This window comes from Homo sapiens, chromosome 10 (genome assembly GCF_000001405.40).
Source record: "Homo sapiens chromosome 10, GRCh38.p14 Primary Assembly".
NCBI classification, from domain to species: Eukaryota; Metazoa; Chordata; class Mammalia; order Primates; family Hominidae; genus Homo; species Homo sapiens.
Genome location: NC_000010.11, coordinates 19,544,581 through 19,562,746, shown reverse-complemented (window position 1 = coordinate 19,562,746; position 18,166 = coordinate 19,544,581). Strand labels below are relative to the sequence as shown.

General features: G+C 36.6%; 1 protein-coding gene across 10 annotated transcripts in view; it reads right to left on the bottom strand.

Moving 5' to 3' along the window:
- Positions 1-18,166, bottom strand: part of MALRD1 (MAM and LDL receptor class A domain containing 1) — a 687,552-nt gene that overhangs the window by 171,732 nt on the left and 497,654 nt on the right. The window lies entirely within an intron of this gene.

The window sequence follows — 18,166 nt, the reverse complement described above, 5'->3', positions numbered from 1 at the left end:
CTCAGAAGTTAATGCTCGCTCACCTGCCCCTCACCTTCTGCTGTGCAAACTGGTTCCTAACAGGCCATGGGCCCAGAGCTTGGATACCCCTGCATTAGAGAATTGAGGTCATAGGACAAACTGCTGCCTCTAAAACTGAAGAAAGAAAGAGGGGGACACATGGAACCACAATGTACTAGAACAGAAGACCAGGGAAAGGTACTCCTGCAGGAACTAAGACAAGGGTAGAAAATCCTAAACTGTAATTGATCAACTGCTGGAGGCTCAGGGTGAATAAGTTTGAAAGTTAAATACTCTGAAGGTTGAGGGGAGGAACTCTTTTGAGGACACCCAGAGTTTCATGAGTTTTACTTCCAGAAGTCTCATCAAGTTCTCTATCTATCTAGATATCTATCTATCTAACTATCTATCTATCTATCTATCTATCTATCTATCTATCTATCTATCTACCTAAGACAGCATCTCGCTCTGTTGCCCAGGCTGGAGTACAGTGGCGCGATCTTGGCTCACTGCAAACTCCGCCTTCTGGGTTCAAGCAATTCTCTGCCTCAGCCTCCTGAGTAGCTGGGATTACAGGCACCCGCCACCACGCCTGGCTAATTTTTGTATTTTTAGTAGAGACAGGGTTTCACCATCTTGGCCAGGCTGGTCTTGAACTCCTGACCTTGTGATCCACCCACCTTGGCCTGCCAAAGTGCTGGGATTAAGGGGTAAGCCACTGCGCCTGGCCCCATCAAGTTCTTATAATGAAGATCAGAGGAACATTCCCTTCTGTTTCTGGTAGGAGAGGGGAAATAGCTATTTTGAAACATACCAAGAACATTCTGTTCTTGTCAGTGAGGCCTGCCCTTAAGGCAAACTATTTAAAGAGAGCTTAACTGACTGCAGCGTACCACAGCCTAACAAAAGTATAGGAGGGAAAATATAAAACCCCATCCCCTCTAGTTCTCCATGGGGGAGAAGGGAAATAACCAGTTCCAGGCATTCCAGCCTTCTTGTTTCATCCAAGAAGGAGAAAAAAGAAAAAAAAAATGCTGAGAGGCAATTGTAAAGGACACAACTCAGGGCACAGTCTCGCTAAAAGACTGAGACCTAATCATAACCCCATTTAAAAATTTCTTCTATTCACAAATTACCCTGTCAAAGGCATTGTTATAGCAGCCCAAATGGCCTGGTATAGCATTATATAATGTTCAAGAGACGTAGCAATCATTTATGTGTATGCACCTAACAACAGAGCATCATTTGAGGCAAAAGCTCACAGAATTGCAAAGGGAAATACTTGCCAATTTACTAATGAATTTACTATTATAGTTAAAGATGCCAAGATTCCTCTCTCAGTAATTGGCAGATCAGAGGGCAGCAAACCAGTCAGGCAGTAGTTGAACTTAACAGCATCAATCAACTGGGTCTAATTTACATTTATAAAGTACTTCACCCAGAAACAGCAGAATACACACTCTTCTCAAGCTCACACAGAATATTTATGAAGATTGACAACATTCTGAGCTATTAAACAAACTGTAGCAAATTTAAAAGAATAGAAATCATACAATGTATGCTCTTAGAACACAATGGAATTAAACTAGAAGTCAATAACAGGGAGATAGCTGAAAAATCCTGTTTGATATTATACTACACAATTTTCTTTTTATTATAAATTATTTTATTTTTATTTCTCAAATGCCCAATTCCCAAATTGTCATTAGATATATTAGATAGATTTTTAATTATGCATAGTCAGGAAATTATTTTTATTTTTTCCTTTAGTATGATTATCATTTTTTTATTATACTTTAAGTTTTGGGATACATGTGCAGAACCTGCAGGTTTGTTACATAGGTATACACGTGCCATGGTGGTTTTCTGTACCCATCAACCCGTTATCTACATTAGGTATTTCTCTTAATGCTATCCCTCCCCTATCCCCCACCCCAACAGGCCCCAGTGTGTGATGTTCCACTCCCTGTGTCCATATGTTCTCATTGTTCAACTCCCACTTATAAGTGAGAACATGTGCTGTTTGGTTTTCTGTTCCTGTGTTAGTTTGCTGAGAATGATGGTTTCCAGCTTCATCCATGTCCCGGCAAAAGACATGAACTCATCCTTTTTTATGGCTACATAGTATTCTATGGTGTATATGTGCCACATTTTCTTTATCTAGTCTATCATTGATGGGCATTTGGGTTGGTTCCAAGTCTTTGCTATTGGGAATAGTGCTGCAATAAACATACATGTGCATGTGTCTTTATTTATTTTTTATTTTATTTTATTTTTTCAGATGGAGTCTCACTCTGTCGCCAGGCTGGAGAGTGCAGTGGTGCAGACTTGGCTCACTGCAACCTCTGCCTCCTGGGTTCAAGTGATTCTCCTGCCTCAGCCTCCCAAGTAGCTGGGACTACAGGTGCCTGACACCACGCCCAGCTAATTTTTTGTATTTTTAGTAGAGACAGTGTTTCACCATGTTTGCCAGGATGGCCTTGAGCTCTTGACCTTGTGATCCACCCACCTCAGCCTCCCAAAGTGCTGGGATTATAGGCGTGAGCCACCACACCCGGCCATGCATGTGTCTTTAAAGTAGAATGATTTATAATCCTTTGGGTATATACCCAGTAATGGGATGACTGGGTCAAATAGTATTTCTGGTTCTAGATCCTTGAAGAATCACCACACTGTCTTCCACAATGGTTGAACTAATTTACACTCCTAACAACAGTGTGAAAGCATTCCTATTTCTCCAAATCCTCTCCAGCATCTGTTGTTTCCTGACTTTTTAATGATCACCATTCTGGTGTGAGATAGTATATATAATTGTGGTTTTGATTTGCATTTCTCTAATGACCAGTGATGATGAGCTTTTTTTCATATGTTTGTTGGCCTCATAAATGTCTTCTTTTCAGAAGTGTCTGTTCACATCCTTTGTCCATGGTTCGATGGGGTTGTTTCTCTTTTTTCTTGTAAATTTGTTTAACTTTCTTGTAGATTCTGGATATTAGCCCTTTGTCAGATGGATAGATTGCAAAAATTTTCTCCCATTCTCTAGGTTGCCTTCACTCTGATAATAGTTTCTTTTGCTTTGCAGAAGTCCTTTAGTTTAATTAGAACCCATTTGTCAATTTTGGTCTTTGTTGCCATTGCTTTTGGTGTTTTAGTCATGAAGTCTTTGACCAGGTGGATTCACACACGAATTCTACACAATTTCCAATAACACAAAGGTCAACGAAGTTCCAAGAGAAATTTTAAAATATTCTATTTCAATTAAAAATTAAAAATAAAATATGCTTAATCAAAGTATATGGGATGAAGTGAAGCAGTGCTTAGAGGAAAATTTTACAGCATTGAATGCATATAGTTTAAAGTAAGAAAAACTGGAAATCAATAAAAAGTTGATTCTTTGAAAAGACTAATAAAATTGCTAAACCTCTAGCCAAGTTACCTGAGAAAAAAAGAGAGAAGACCCAAAGCATTAATATTGAAAATGACAAAAGAACCATCACTACTGATCCCATGAATTTTAAAAGGGTAATGAAAAATATTATTATCATCATTATTATTATTATTATTGAGACAGAGTCTTGTTCTGTCACCCAGGCTGGAGTGCAGTGGTACTATCTCGGCTCACTGCAACTTTTGCCTCCCAGGTTCAAGCGATTCTCCCACCTCAGCCTCCTGAGTAACTGGGATCACAGGTGCCCACCATCATGCCTGGCTAATTTTTGCGTTTTTAGTAGAGACAGGTTTCACCATGTTGGCCAGGCTGGTCTCGAATCCCTAACCTCAAGTGATCTGCCCACCTCAGCCTCCCAAAGTGCTGGGATTACAGGTGTGAGCCACCGCACCCAGCCAAAAAATATTATTAACAATATATACCATATATTTGATAATCTAGATGTAATTGACCAATTCCTTGAAAGGCACATCTACTGAAATTTACACAAGAAAAAACAGATAATCTGACTACACCTATATCTATTAAAGAAATTCAATCAATTATTAATAACCTTTCAAAACAAAACCATAATACAAAACCAGACAAAAACATTACTAGAAAGGAAAACTACAGACCAACATTTCTCATGAAGATAGATGCAAAAATTCTCAAAAAGTATTAGCAAATTAAATTCAGCAATGGAAGAAAAGAATAATATACCATGATCTGGTAGGATTTATTCCAAGTATGCTAGGCCAGTAAACATTGGAAAATCAATTAATGTAATCCATCATATCAACAAGCTACAGAATAAACATTAAATAATTATATCAATACATGCAGAAAAGAATATGATGAAAAGCAATACCCATTCATGATGACAACTGTTAGGGAACTAGGAATAGAAGGGAACTTCATATTGATAAAGAATATTGACGAAGAACCTATAGCTAATATCATCCTTAATAGTGAAAAACTAGCCATTTTCCTACTAAAATCATGAACAAGCAAGGATGTGTGCTCTCACAACTCCTATTTAACATCATACTGGAAGTCCTTGGTAGCATAATAATAGAAAAAAGGGGGGAAAAAAGCATACTAATTGAGAAAGAAATAAAACTGTTCATAGATGACATGATTGTCTCTGTAGAAAATCAACCAATAATCAACCAAAAAACTTCCTGGAAGTGAGAAGCAATTAGAGAAAAGTTGCAGGATGCAAGAATAATATGCAAATTTAGTTATTTTTTATATAGCAGGAATGAACAATTGAAATTCAAAATTTAAAACAATAAAATTTATATTAGCACCAAAAAAGAAATATATATTTATAAATCTAACAAAAAAGTACATGATATCTATGAAGAACACTACAAAACTGATGAAAAATCTCAAATATAGATAAATAGATGTTATTTCATGAGGAAGACTCAATATTTTCAAGATGTAAGTTCTTCCCAACTTAATTTATAGATTCAATCAATCATAGTCAAAGTCCTAGCAAGTTATTTTGAGGATACTGAGAGGCTCACTTGGAAGTTTAAAAGGAAAGTCAAAGACTCCGAATAACCAACACAAGGTTAAAGGAGAAGAACAAAGCCAGACAACTGACACTACCAGACTTTAGACATCATATAAGGCTATAGTAATCAAGACAATGTAGTATTTGTGAAAGAATAGACACACTGATAATGGAATAGAATAGAGAGCCCAGAAACAGACTCACACAAATAGAAGTAACTGATATTTGACAAGGAATCAAAGGCAATCCAATGCAGAAAGGATAATGCAGAACAACTACACCCACAAACAAGCAAACAAAAAAAAAAGAATCTAGACACAGAGTATACATGTGTTACCAAAATTAACTCAAAATTATTCATTGAATTAAAAGTCAACTGCAAACTATAAAACTTGTAGAAGATAACATAGGGGAAAATCTAGTGGCTTTGGGTGTTGCACTGAGTTTTTACATATATTGCCAAAACCAGGAACCATAAATGGGAAATTGGTAAGTTGGACTTTGTTAAATTAAAAACTTCTATGTAAATGACACTGTTAGGAGAATGAAAAGACAAGCTAGAGACCAAAGAAAATATTCTAAAACACATATCTGATAAGGCCTGGTATTCAAAATATATAAAGAACTTTAAAAACTCAAAAATAAGAAAATAAACAACCTGATGAGAAAAATGGATGAAACATCTAAATAGAAACCTCCCTAAAGAATCTATTCAAATGGCTAATGGCATATAGAAAATACTCAAACTCATTTGTTATCAGGGATTTTCAAATTAAAACAAAAATGGGATGACACTAAACATCTTTTAAAATGGCTATTTCCAAATCACTGACATTATCAAACACTCCCGAGGATATAGAGCCACAGGAACTCTCATTCACTATGAAACATTAGAAGATAACAGAGGAGGTTATCTTCTGGTGGGAATGCAAACTGGTATAGCCACTTTGTCAGACAGTTTGGCAGTTTCTTACAAAACTGAACATACTCTTACCATGTGAACCAGCAACTGTACTACTTGATATTCACCCAGATGTGCTGAATGTTTATGTCTACACTAAATGTGCACGTGATTGTTTATAGCAACTTTATTTATAATTGCCAAAACTTGGAAGCAACTAACATGTCTTTGAACTGGTGAATAAACGAACTCTGGCACATCCATAGTATGGAATCTTATTCTGCAATAAGTAAATGAGGTATCAAGCCATGAAAAGACAGAGAGGGGACTTACATGTATATTTTTAAGTGAAATAAGTCAATCTGAAAAGCGTAGTTACTGTATGATTCCAACTATGTGAATTCATGGAAAAGGTAAAACTATGGAGACAGTAAAAAAAAGGGTTTTGGGGGAGAAAGGGATAAATAGGTGGAGCAAAGGGGAATTTTAGGGCAGTGAAACTACTCTGCATGATACTATGGATATAGGTCATACATTTGTCAAAATCCATGAAATGTGCAACCCAGAGTAAGCCCTAGTGTAAACTATAAACTTTAATGATAATGCCTCCATATTGGCTCATCAATTGTAACTAATGTTCCATACTAATGGAAGATGTTAATGATGGATGAAAACTGGGTAGGACAAGGGTAAGTTGAGAGGGATTATATTATACGAAAACTGTTTGTTCTTTCCACTCAGTTTTCCTATAAACCTAAAACTGCTCCAATAATAAAGCTGTTTAATGTTTAAAAGTAAATTTTAAAAATACACAGTACAGAAATGATAGCGCTGGTGAGAGAATTTTCCTTATTTCCTTTGGTTTACTGAGTTGCCTTAGTTGGAAAAACACAAATGTCTCATCAATTTCAATGCCAATTAAAGAAATTATTAAAATAATCACTTGTTCCGTTAATACATTTAGTCACCCTCCTTTTCTCTCCCTCTCTGTCATGCTTTCTATCTCTAATTTTGGACTTTAAAATAAAATCAGTAGCATACCATCATTAACCTTGCTAACATCAACTACTTTCCCCAACTCAATCTTTAGAGACCAAACATCTTTGCCTAATTAGAGGCAAGAATGATCAAAGTACCAGGTACATTAATCTATCAAAGGGGGCACTTTAGAATTAATTTAGTAATAGTTTTCTAGAACTGGGTGCCACAAACACATTGTAAGAATGTCTTTACAATGGTGTAGACGTTTTCTCAAGCTCTGTCTCCCCTACACATTTCCTCTGTATCTTCTCACTACTCTTTGCCTCCTTATGCTCTAGCATAAGGTTACATTGCCAACCCCCTTAAATGCTAGAAACACTCCTGACTTACAGCTTCACATGACTTTTTCTGTTTGAAATGTTTTCCCTCTGACACCTGTATTTGCATGGCCCACCTCCCCACTTCCTTCAAATGTTTGCTCAAAGTTACATTCTTAATGAGGCCCACTCTGACCTCCATGGTTGTAAAAATGAAGTCCTACCCAGCTTTCCCAATCCTCCTACGCTACTTTACTTTTGATGGGGTTTAGATGTTTGTCCCCTCCAAATCTCATGTTGAAATGTGATCCCCAATGTTAAAGGTGAGCCTGGTAGGAGGTGTTTGGGTCATGGGGGCAAATCCCTCATGAATGGTTTGATACCCTCTTCTGAGTAATAAGTGAGTTCTTGCTGGTTGTTTAAAGAAGCCTGGCCACATGAGCTCAACATCACTGATCATTAAAGAAATTCAAATCAAAAACACAATGAGATATCATCTCATGCCAGTCAGAATGGCGATTATTAAAATGTCGAGAAACAACAGATGCTGGAGAGGCTGGAGAAATAGGAATGCTTTTACACTGTTGGTAGGAATGTAAACTAGTTCAGCCATTGTGTAAGACAGTATGGCGATTCCTCAAAGATCCAGAACCAGAAATACCATCTGACCCAGCAATCCCATTAGTGGGTATATACCCAAAGGAATATAAATCATTCTATTACAAAGATACATGCATGCATATGTGCATACAGTAGCAAAGAAATGGAATCAACCCAAATGCCCGTCAATGGTAGACTGGATAAAGAAAATGTGGTACAAAAAATGTGGTGCATATACACCATAGAATGCTATGCAGCCATAAAAAGGAACAAGATCATGTCCTTTGCAGGGACATAAATGGAGCTGGAAGCCATTATCCTCAGCATGCTAACACAGGAACAGAAAACCAAACACTGCATGTTCTCACTCATAAGTGGGAGCTGAACAATGAGAACACATGGACACAAAGAATGGGACAACACACACTGGGGCCTGTGGGGAGTGGGGTTGGGGAGGGAGAGCATTAGAAAAAATGGCTAATGCATGCTGGGCTTGATACTTAGGTTATAGGTTGATAGGTGCAGCAAACTACCATGGTACACATTTACCTATGTAACAAAGCTGCACATCCTGCGCATGTACCCTGGAACTTAAAATAAAAATTTAAATTAATATAAAAAGAAAGAGCAAGCTTGGCACCTCCTCCTCCCTCCACCTCTTGCTCCTGCTCTCAGCACGTGACATTGCCTGCTACCCGTTCGCCTTCTACAATGATTGGAAACTTCCTGAGTCCTCACCAGAAGCAGATGCTGGAACCCAGCTTCCTGTAGAACCTACAGAACTGTGAGCCAAAACAAACCTCCTTACTTTATAAACTACTCAACTTCAGGTATTTCTTCTTAGCAACACAAGTGGACTAATACAACTTTGTTCCATAATCCTTAAAGATACTACCCAACCTACTTATTACATCTTCTGCTTACTGCCTGTTTCTTTCACTGTAATATAAATGCTATAAAAGCAGGGGATTTTGTATGTTTTGCTTATTTATGTACCCTAAATGCCTAGAGCACTGCCAGGCACATAATAGGAGCTCAACAAATATTTGCTAAAGAATGAAAGAATGGGAAAGTTAAGGATTTAAGAACTTTAGAGTTAGAAAGGACCTTGGAGATCTTCTAGTCTCAAACTTCCTAGGAGACGAGAGAGAATAAGGGACGTGCCTATGTTACTCACCATCAGTAATGGAAGTAGAGTAGAATCTCACGTGTATCACTGGGTAATTGCTGCCACATCACAACATCATGTATGCTACCTCCATCTAGTTTAGAATATTTTCATCATCTATTTATTACAGGGAGAATAATTTAAATACATATGCTCAGAGCTGAGATATATTACTGATAAATCAGGTAATAAAATTTATTTGATCAATGGAATTTTGAAGTAGATTTGATTTTATTCATCAGTTTCTGAATAACAAAAAGCCCCAGGTTTCAATTTAAATAGGGGATTTAAACACTAGAAATCAGAGAATTTAGTTATGAAAAGTATAAAATTTTTTAAAACACAGTACAAGCTGTTGAAATGATAAATGGATTTTTTTAATGATGTAACAAAATATTTTTATATTCTGACATATTGGTTATTAGCCAGAAAAACAGCACAACCAAATGTCTTGACTTAAAATGTATTGATAACATGAGATATATGAAGAATTCAATATATACATATATCCATACATATATACAGAAAACTATTTTTTAATATTTTCCTACTGATATGAAATTTTAAATTGGAAATTTTGTGAGTGTTTTCCTTGTCCAACCATAGAGCCCAATTGTTTATTTTTTTAGTTATTTAACAGTTTCTTGAGGGCTGCACCTTTAAATTCCCAGATTGTCAATAACCACATACATTATATGGAATAAGGTGAACACGAGTGCATATATAAATAAAATAGTCCTCTTAGGACTTTTAAACATTCATTTCTAGTAGGAGAGTATCTAGAAATTATCATCTACAAGTCATAATTAGGATGTATGGCTACTATAGCTTTTTCCGTTTATGTATTATATAAATAAACACTTGCATATTAAAATTTGTTTTCTTCCAGGGACAAGTACAATATAATGTAACCACACTTAGATCAAACTGTTATATTTATCAGAAAATAATGTTGTGGACTATAGCTTGAACATGTGGACTGGAAGCATCATGGAGAAGGAGGGCAGGAGAGCAGAACTTGATGTTTATTGTGTATAAGTTATTACAGTGTAACTACTAATGCTTTGCAAAAGCAAACACTGAAAAAAAGAAAAACAAAATAATTTTTTTCTTTTGAAATTAAAAAATATTTCTACGATAATCAATTCATCAACTTATATAAAAGACAAATCCATCTACTTACAAAAACCAGGATTATTCACGTACTGTTGTGAGAGATAGTAGTGTTCTTAGTATGTTTACAAATAAGGATACAGACACACACACACACACACAAAAATTCAAAACATCAACAAATCCAGGCGCTGGCACTCTGAAAAAAATTAATAAAGTAGGTAGACTGCTAGCTAGACTAATAAAGAAGAAAAGAGAGAAGATTCAAATAAACACAACCTGAAATGATAAGGGTAATATTACCACTGACTCCACAGAAATACAAACAACCATCAGAGAATATTATAAATACCTCTATGCACATGAACTAGGAAATCTAGAAGAAACTGATAAATTTCTGGACATATACACCCTGAAATTGAATCCCTGAACAGGCCAATAACGAGTTCTGAAATTGAAGCAGTAATAAATAGCCTACCAACCAAAAAATCCTAGGACCAGATTAATTCACAGCTGAATTTTACCAGATGTACAAAGAATAGCTGGTACCATTCCTAGAGAAACTATACAAAAAAATTGAAAAGGAGGGACTCCTCTCTAACTCATTCTATGAGGCCAGCATCATCCTGATACCAAAACCTGGCAGAGATACAAGGAAAAAAAGAAAATTTCAGGCCAATATCTTTGATGAACATGAATGCAGAAATCCTCAAAAAAAATACTGGCAAACTAATCTAGCAGCACATCAAAAAGTGTATTTACCACAATCAAGTAGCCTTCATCCCTAGGATGCAAGGTTCGTTCAACATACAGAAATCAATAAATGTGATTCATCGCATAAACAAAACTAAAGACAAAAACCACATGATTATCTCAATAGATGCAAAAAGGCTTTCATTGAAATTCAGCATCTGTTCAGGTTAAAAACTCTCAATAAACTAGATATTGAAGGAATATACCTCAAAATAAGAGCCATACAAGACAAACCCACAGCCAATATTATACTCAATGGGCAAAAGCTAGAAGCATTCCGCTTTCAAGACAAGGATGCACTCTCTCACCACTCCTATTCAACACAGTACTCAAAGTCCAGGCCAGGGCAATTGGGAAAGATAAAGAAATAAAGGGCTTCCAAAAAGGAAGACAGAAAGTTAAATTACCCCTCTTTGCAGGCGACATGATCCTATATCTAGAAAACCCCACTGTCTCAGTGCAAAAGCTTCTTAAGCTGATAAGCAACTTCAGTAAAGTCTAAAGATACAAAATCAGCATACAAAAATCAGTAGCGTTCCTATATACCAGCAACAGCCAAGCCAAGAGCTGAGCCTGGAATAAAATCCCATTCACAATAGCAACAAATGAATAAAATATCTAGGAATACAGTGAACAGGGGAGGTGAAAGATCTCTACAATGAAAATTACAAGACAGTGCTGAAAAATATGGGAGATGACAAAAATATCAGAGACGATGGGAGGAAATATTTGCATACTGTGCATCTTATAAAGGTCTAATATCCAGCATCTGTAAAGAACTTAAGTTTATAGGAACAAAAACAACCTTATTAAAAATGTGCAAAGGATATGAACAGACACTTTTCAAAAGAAGACCTACATGCAGCCAACAATCATATGAAAAAGAAGCTCAATCAGTGATCTTTACAGAAATGCAAATCAAAACCACAATGAGATATCATCTCACACCAGTCAGAATGGCTATTATTAAAAAGGCAAAAAATAACAGATGCTGGCAAGGTTGTGGAGAAAAAGGAACACTTATATTGTGGAAGACAGTGTGGTGATTCCTCAAAAACCTAGAAACAGAACTAGCATTTTAACCAGCAATCCCATTATGGGGTATATACCGCCCAAAATATAAATCATTCTATTATAAAGACATACACATAGGTATGTATGTTCATTGCAGCACTATTAATGGTAGCAAAGACATGGAATCAACCTAAACCCCTATTAGTGATAAGGGATAAGGAAAATGTGGTACATACACACCATGGAATACTATGCAGCCATTAAAAAGAATGAGATCACATCCCGTGCAGGGACATGGATGGAGCTAGAAGCCATTATCCTCAGGAAACTAATGCTGGAACAGAAAACCAAATACCGCATGTTCTCACACTTAAGTGGGAGCTAAATGACGAGAACATGTGGACACATAGAGGGGAACCCACACACACTGGGGCCTATTGGAGGGTGGAGGTTGGAAGGAGGTAGAGGGTCAGGAAAAATAATTAATTGGTACTAGTTATTTGGCTTAATACAGGTGATGAAATAATAAAGAAAAAACCAAGACACATGTTTATCTATGTAACAAAACTGCACAGGTACCCCTGAACTTACAATTAAAAAGTTTAAAAAACATAATTACTTTGTTACACTAAAACTTCACCACAATTTCTGGGTTTGGATGTCACTGAATTATAAATAATCTAGGACATGTTGTAAAGAATGTATCATAGGCAAGTAGGGGAGCGGGTAATTATAAAAAACAAATCTTAGAACAATCAGAATTAGGATGAAATAACAATCTACAATTCAGCTGGGTCATTAAGGACTGAGGAAATAGATCACTGTTGTCTTTTTTTCACCTTTCTTACTTAAGATGAAGACCAAGAATCCCCCAGTTTTCTTTCTAACACCTCAAAGCAAATTAAATGGGTTTATATATATGAAATACTTTTTCAAACTATAAAGGAGTGTCCAAAATTGGTTGGTGATTATTTGTGATATAGAGAGGCATTGCTCTCTATTATATTCCAGAAGCATAAAACTTTCCCCCAATGTTTAACCTATTAGCCAGAAGGCTGAGCAATGTAATAGTTAGGAATTAGGAACCAGATTCCAATCCTGTCTCTGCCCAGATTAATTGAATGTTTTAGGCCAAGTTACTTAATGTCTTTAAATTTCAGTTTCCACTGCTATTAAATGAAAGACATTAATCAGCAGAGCTCAAAGATATTGCAGGTTCAGTTCCAGACTACTGCAATAAACCAAATATTGCAATAACATGAGTCATAAAAATCTTTCGGTTTCCCAGAGCATATAAAACTCATGTTTACACTATACTGTAGTCGGTTAAGTGTGCAACAGCATTATGCCTACAAAAAGCAATGTATATACCTTAACTTAAAAATATATTATTGCTAAAATATGCTAATGACCATCTCAGCCTTCAAGTCATAATCTTGCTGGTGAAGGGTCTTACTTTATTGGGCTGCTCACTGATTAGGGTGGTGATTGCTGAAGGGTGGAGTGGTTGTGGTAATTTCTTAAAACAAGACAATAAGTTTGCTGCACGATCGACTTTCTTGCTCAAAAGATTTCTCTGTAGCAAATGATGCTATTTGATAGCGTTTTACCCACAGTAGAACTTCTTTCAAAACTGAAGTCAATCCTCCTCCAACCTGCTGCGGCTTTATCAAGCACTCTGTCAGCACTTTCTGCTTCACTTTGCACTTTTATGTTAAGCAGGTGGCTTCTTTCCTTAAACCTCATGAACTAACCATCCTCTACTAGCTTCCAACTTTTCTTCCACAGCTTCCTCACCTCTCTCAGCCAAACTGAAGAGAGTTGGGTCTTGCTCTGGATTAGGCTTTGGCTTAAGGGAATGTCGAAGCTGGTTTGGTCTTCTATCCAGACCATTTAAACCTTCTCCATATTAGCACTAAGGCTGTTTTGCTTCATTATCATGTGTGTGTTCACTGGAGTAGCACTTTTAACTTCCTTCACGAACTTTTCCCTTGCATCCCCAACTTGACTAGCTGTTTGGAGCAAGACGTCTAGCTTTCAGCCTATCTCACCTTTCGACATGCTTTCCTCACTAAGCTTAATCATTTCTAGCTTTTGATTTAAAGTAGGAGAAGTGCTGTTCTTCCTTTCGCTTGAACACTTAAAGACCATTGGCCTTGAAGGGTTGGCCTAATTTGGATGTGGTCTTGTCTCAGGAAATAGGGAGGCCCGAAGAGAGGGAGTGACACAAGGGATCCACAGGTCAATCTAGCAGTCAGAACACACACAGTATTTATCAATTATATTCACCATTTTATATTACAGTTCATAACACCCCAGAAAAAAATACAATAGTAGCATCAAAGATCACTGATCACAGATCACCATAAGAAATATAATGAGGCCGGGCACGGTGACAATTTTAATAAGTCATAGAGTTGTTAGGGAGGATGATTCAGGCCAGTCACATCTTGCCAAAGATCTACTTTTACTTGGGTGATGGGTAAGTTAGAAGCGTGCAATTAATTTTCATTCAAAATAGATAACTAATTTAATAGGCAAAAATATTATGTCCACTTTAGAAAAAAAGGCACAGCAATTAAAACTTATAAACACTGGGAATAAGAAAGAAAAAAGAAAATCTAATCAACCCATCGAATGACTCAAGTAGGCCAGGCGTGGTGGTTCACGCCTGTAATCCCAGAACTTTGGGCGGCAGAGGGGGGCAAATCACCTGAGGTCAGGAGTTCGAGATCAGTCTGACCAACATGGTGAAACCCCATCTTTAGTAAAAATACAAAATTAGCCAGGGGTGGTGGTGCATGCTTGTAATCCCAGCTACTTGGCAGGCTGAGGCAGGAGAATTGCCTGAACTGGGAGGTGGAGGTTGCAGTGATCTGAGATTGTGCCATTGCACTCCAGCCCGGCCAACAAGAGGGAAACTTTGTCTCAAAAAAAAAAAAAAAAAAAAAAAAGTATAGTGATAAGAGAAAAGCTTGAAATGCTGGGAGAATTATCAAAATGTGACACAGAAACACAAAGCGAGCACAAGTTGTTGGGAAAATAGCAGCCATACATACACTTGCTGAATGCAATGTTGTTACAAACCTTCAATTTGTAAAAAAAAAAAAAAAAAAAAAAAAAAAAAAATATATATATATATATATATATATATATATATATGTATCTGTGAAGTTCAGTAAAATGGAGTACAATAAAATGAAGTGTGCTGTAGCTCCCTGATAGATCTGTTATTAGGTTTAAATTTAAGTGAAGTATGTCAATTCATTACCAACACCGAGCACATTTTATTACTATTGCTATTACACATCATATATATCTTATGGTGGAAAAAAGGAGCTAATATAGAAGGATAAGTCATGTCATGTTAATGAGAGTGGTAACTGGGGAATTTCATTATGAGAAGCTGGCATTCTTTTGTGGGATTAAAAAAATAATAATTTCAGATGTGGTTTTAGGTTTTTCAGATTTTTTTTTAAAGCATTGCTAAGGTCCTTGCAAATAAGAAGGATCAGAAGCAGAGAGCTTTAGAAATTTCGGAGTTTCTAATCCCTAGTGACTGGGTGTTGGACATAGGTTTCCTGTGTTCCAGTCGGGCAGTCGTTCTTCCACCTCACTTGGTTTGTAATAAACATCACTGAATGTCTCACAGGAGGAAGAACTGAAAAAACGTATAGCTACTATGCATGTGGAAATTGAAATGGCTGATTTGTATTTAGCTCTTCAACGTTGACCCCACATTATTTGAAAGAGACCAAGTAATTAGAAATAGGAGTAATCAGAAATAAAGCACCAAGAAAATGTCTCTTCATAGCAAAATGACCCATGTAGCATTTAATGTTAGTTAGCCCGACACTTAGAGGCTTTTCTCTCAATGAACAGTATCACTGCACAGACCACCTTCAGAATGCCTTCAAAACACCTTCCCTCAAATTGAAAGAAAATTTATACTGCAAGACAGCAAACAGGAAAAAAAATGAATTTCTAAGCTGAATTACTGTTCTTTTAGTAGGTTCTTCAAAAGTTGTAAATATTTAGAAAACTCATTTCTGGTTCTGATGGCTAACTGAAAACACACACTTACCTATACTCTCCAAAAATGTTCCACTGGAAAGACAGGAAAAACACTGACATAAATCAACAGAAGCAATGGAAAATCAGGATCACAGGTACTAGCTTACAGAAATAGTTAGGACTTTTTGGAGGTTTTAAATCAAATGGAAACTTTTTGATGAAAATACATAAACAGAACTGAGGCATTTGCAAACACCTACAGGTAAAAGAAAAGATCAGTACCAATGACAAAAATGTGAACTGTTCTAGCCAAATTCTGGAATAACTCAAAGGGACAAAGACCAAAGAGAAGAAGCTGTGCATATGTCACCATCTGGTAATTAATCCAAGGACTCCAGAAGAGCCAGGTTGATTCCTTGGGTTAGGAGTTGCTGATTCCAGCATTTGTACCCAGAACAGACAAGATGAGTAAATATTGCTGAAATGGAGCTCTGACACAGGAGTTTCCAAGAGTTTGTACTGAGACCAGAGAAATGATGCAATGTCCCTTACGACTGCCATAAAAATACGTGTACCTCCTTCAACACATAAACAAGCTAACAATACATCGTAAACATAAACACACTAGAAAACAGCTAGTGCTTTACATCAAAGAAATATGAAACCAGAGATGCTGAATCAGAATGCATATTCACTGTTAGGGGAAGGGAATTTCTTACTTGGTCTGAGAAGATAAAGCACACATAGTAATATTATTCAACCTAGACTCATCCATCTATAGAAATAGAACACTAAGTAACCAGACAGTTGTGAAAAACTGTAAAACAGAGACACTACATTAAACAGAATACTGAACACCATGGGAAAGACAGTTAACAGAACCAATGGGAAAATAAAGAAAGAAATATAATTAACTCTCTTGAGAGATTTGGGTGTCAGTCATACCTAACAGGCAAATATGAAAGGGGGAAGCATTCACAGTTCTTGGAAATTAACAGTATGATTGTAAAAATAAAAGCCTCACAGATAGACTGAATAGCAAAACTGACCCAGATTAAAGACCAAAAGGTGAATAGGAAAACTGAAAGAAGTGATCCTCTAAGACCACAGTGCCAGAGGACTAAAAGCTGAAAACGTCGTGAATTTACGTGAGGGGTTGGTGGGGAAAGGTCCAGAAGTTTGCAGATCTGTCTAATAATTTTCCTTGAAGGAGATAACCAAGCAAATTACAGCTGAAAATCTCCCTAAGGTGACGAATGATGAGGGCTCATTAAATTTCCAGGAAAATTTATGGATTCCAGGGAATAAAAAGAACATTTTATTCACATACGGGGAAAAGTAGGTAGTGTAAAAGTCCTGAAGGAGAAATAATCAGACAGACATCAGTCTTCTAAAAGGTAGGCAGGTACTGGATATTAGCATGCAATGCAGCCACATCTTCAATTACGTAAGGAAAAATAATTTTCAACCTAGAAATCTATACCCAACCAATCTTTCCAATATAGACACGATTGCTTTTTTCAATCAAGAACTCAAAAGGTTAGCATTTTGCACTTATCTGAAATGCATATGAGCAAAACATACTGTTACAGGATGAATGTATTCCCCTAAAGTTCATATGTTGCAGCCCTAAACCACAGAACCTCAGAATGTGACTGTATTTTGAAACAGGGCCTCATTAAGTTATAATGAGGCTGTTAGGGTAGGCTCTAATCCAATGTGAATGATGCCCTTATAAAATGAAAAAATTTAGACATAAGAAGAAACATGAGGGATAGATATGCCTGCATAGAGGGAAGACCTTGTGAGGACAGTGGAAAGGTGACCAGTGACCAGTCAAGGAAGAAGCCTCAGAAGAACCCACACCTGCTGACACCTTGATCTTGGACCTCCAGCCTCCATGATTATAAGGAAATACATTTCTATTGTTGAAGCCACCCAGTCATGGTATCTTGTTATGGCAACTCTAGCAAGCTAATATGCATATCAAACAAAAAGAATCCAATATAGTAGACTGCATAGGCATTAATAAAGAGTGGTGAGCAAAGATAACTTGCCCACTGCTTGATATTATCATCAAGTAAAATGCATAGTTTTACTTGATGATAACATACTGTGAATTGAAAAACTGAAGAGAGGTCATGGTCATTTTTATGAATATGATTGCCAAGAAGGTAGAGAAATGATTTGCACTTTAGTTCCAGACAATTTTAATAAGTCATAGAGCTGTTAGAGAGGATGATTCAGGCCAATCAAATCTGACCAAAGATCTACTTTTAGTGGGTGGTGGGTAGATTATTAATTTTCATTCATAATAAATACTTTAATAGACAATAAAAATTCGTCCACTTTA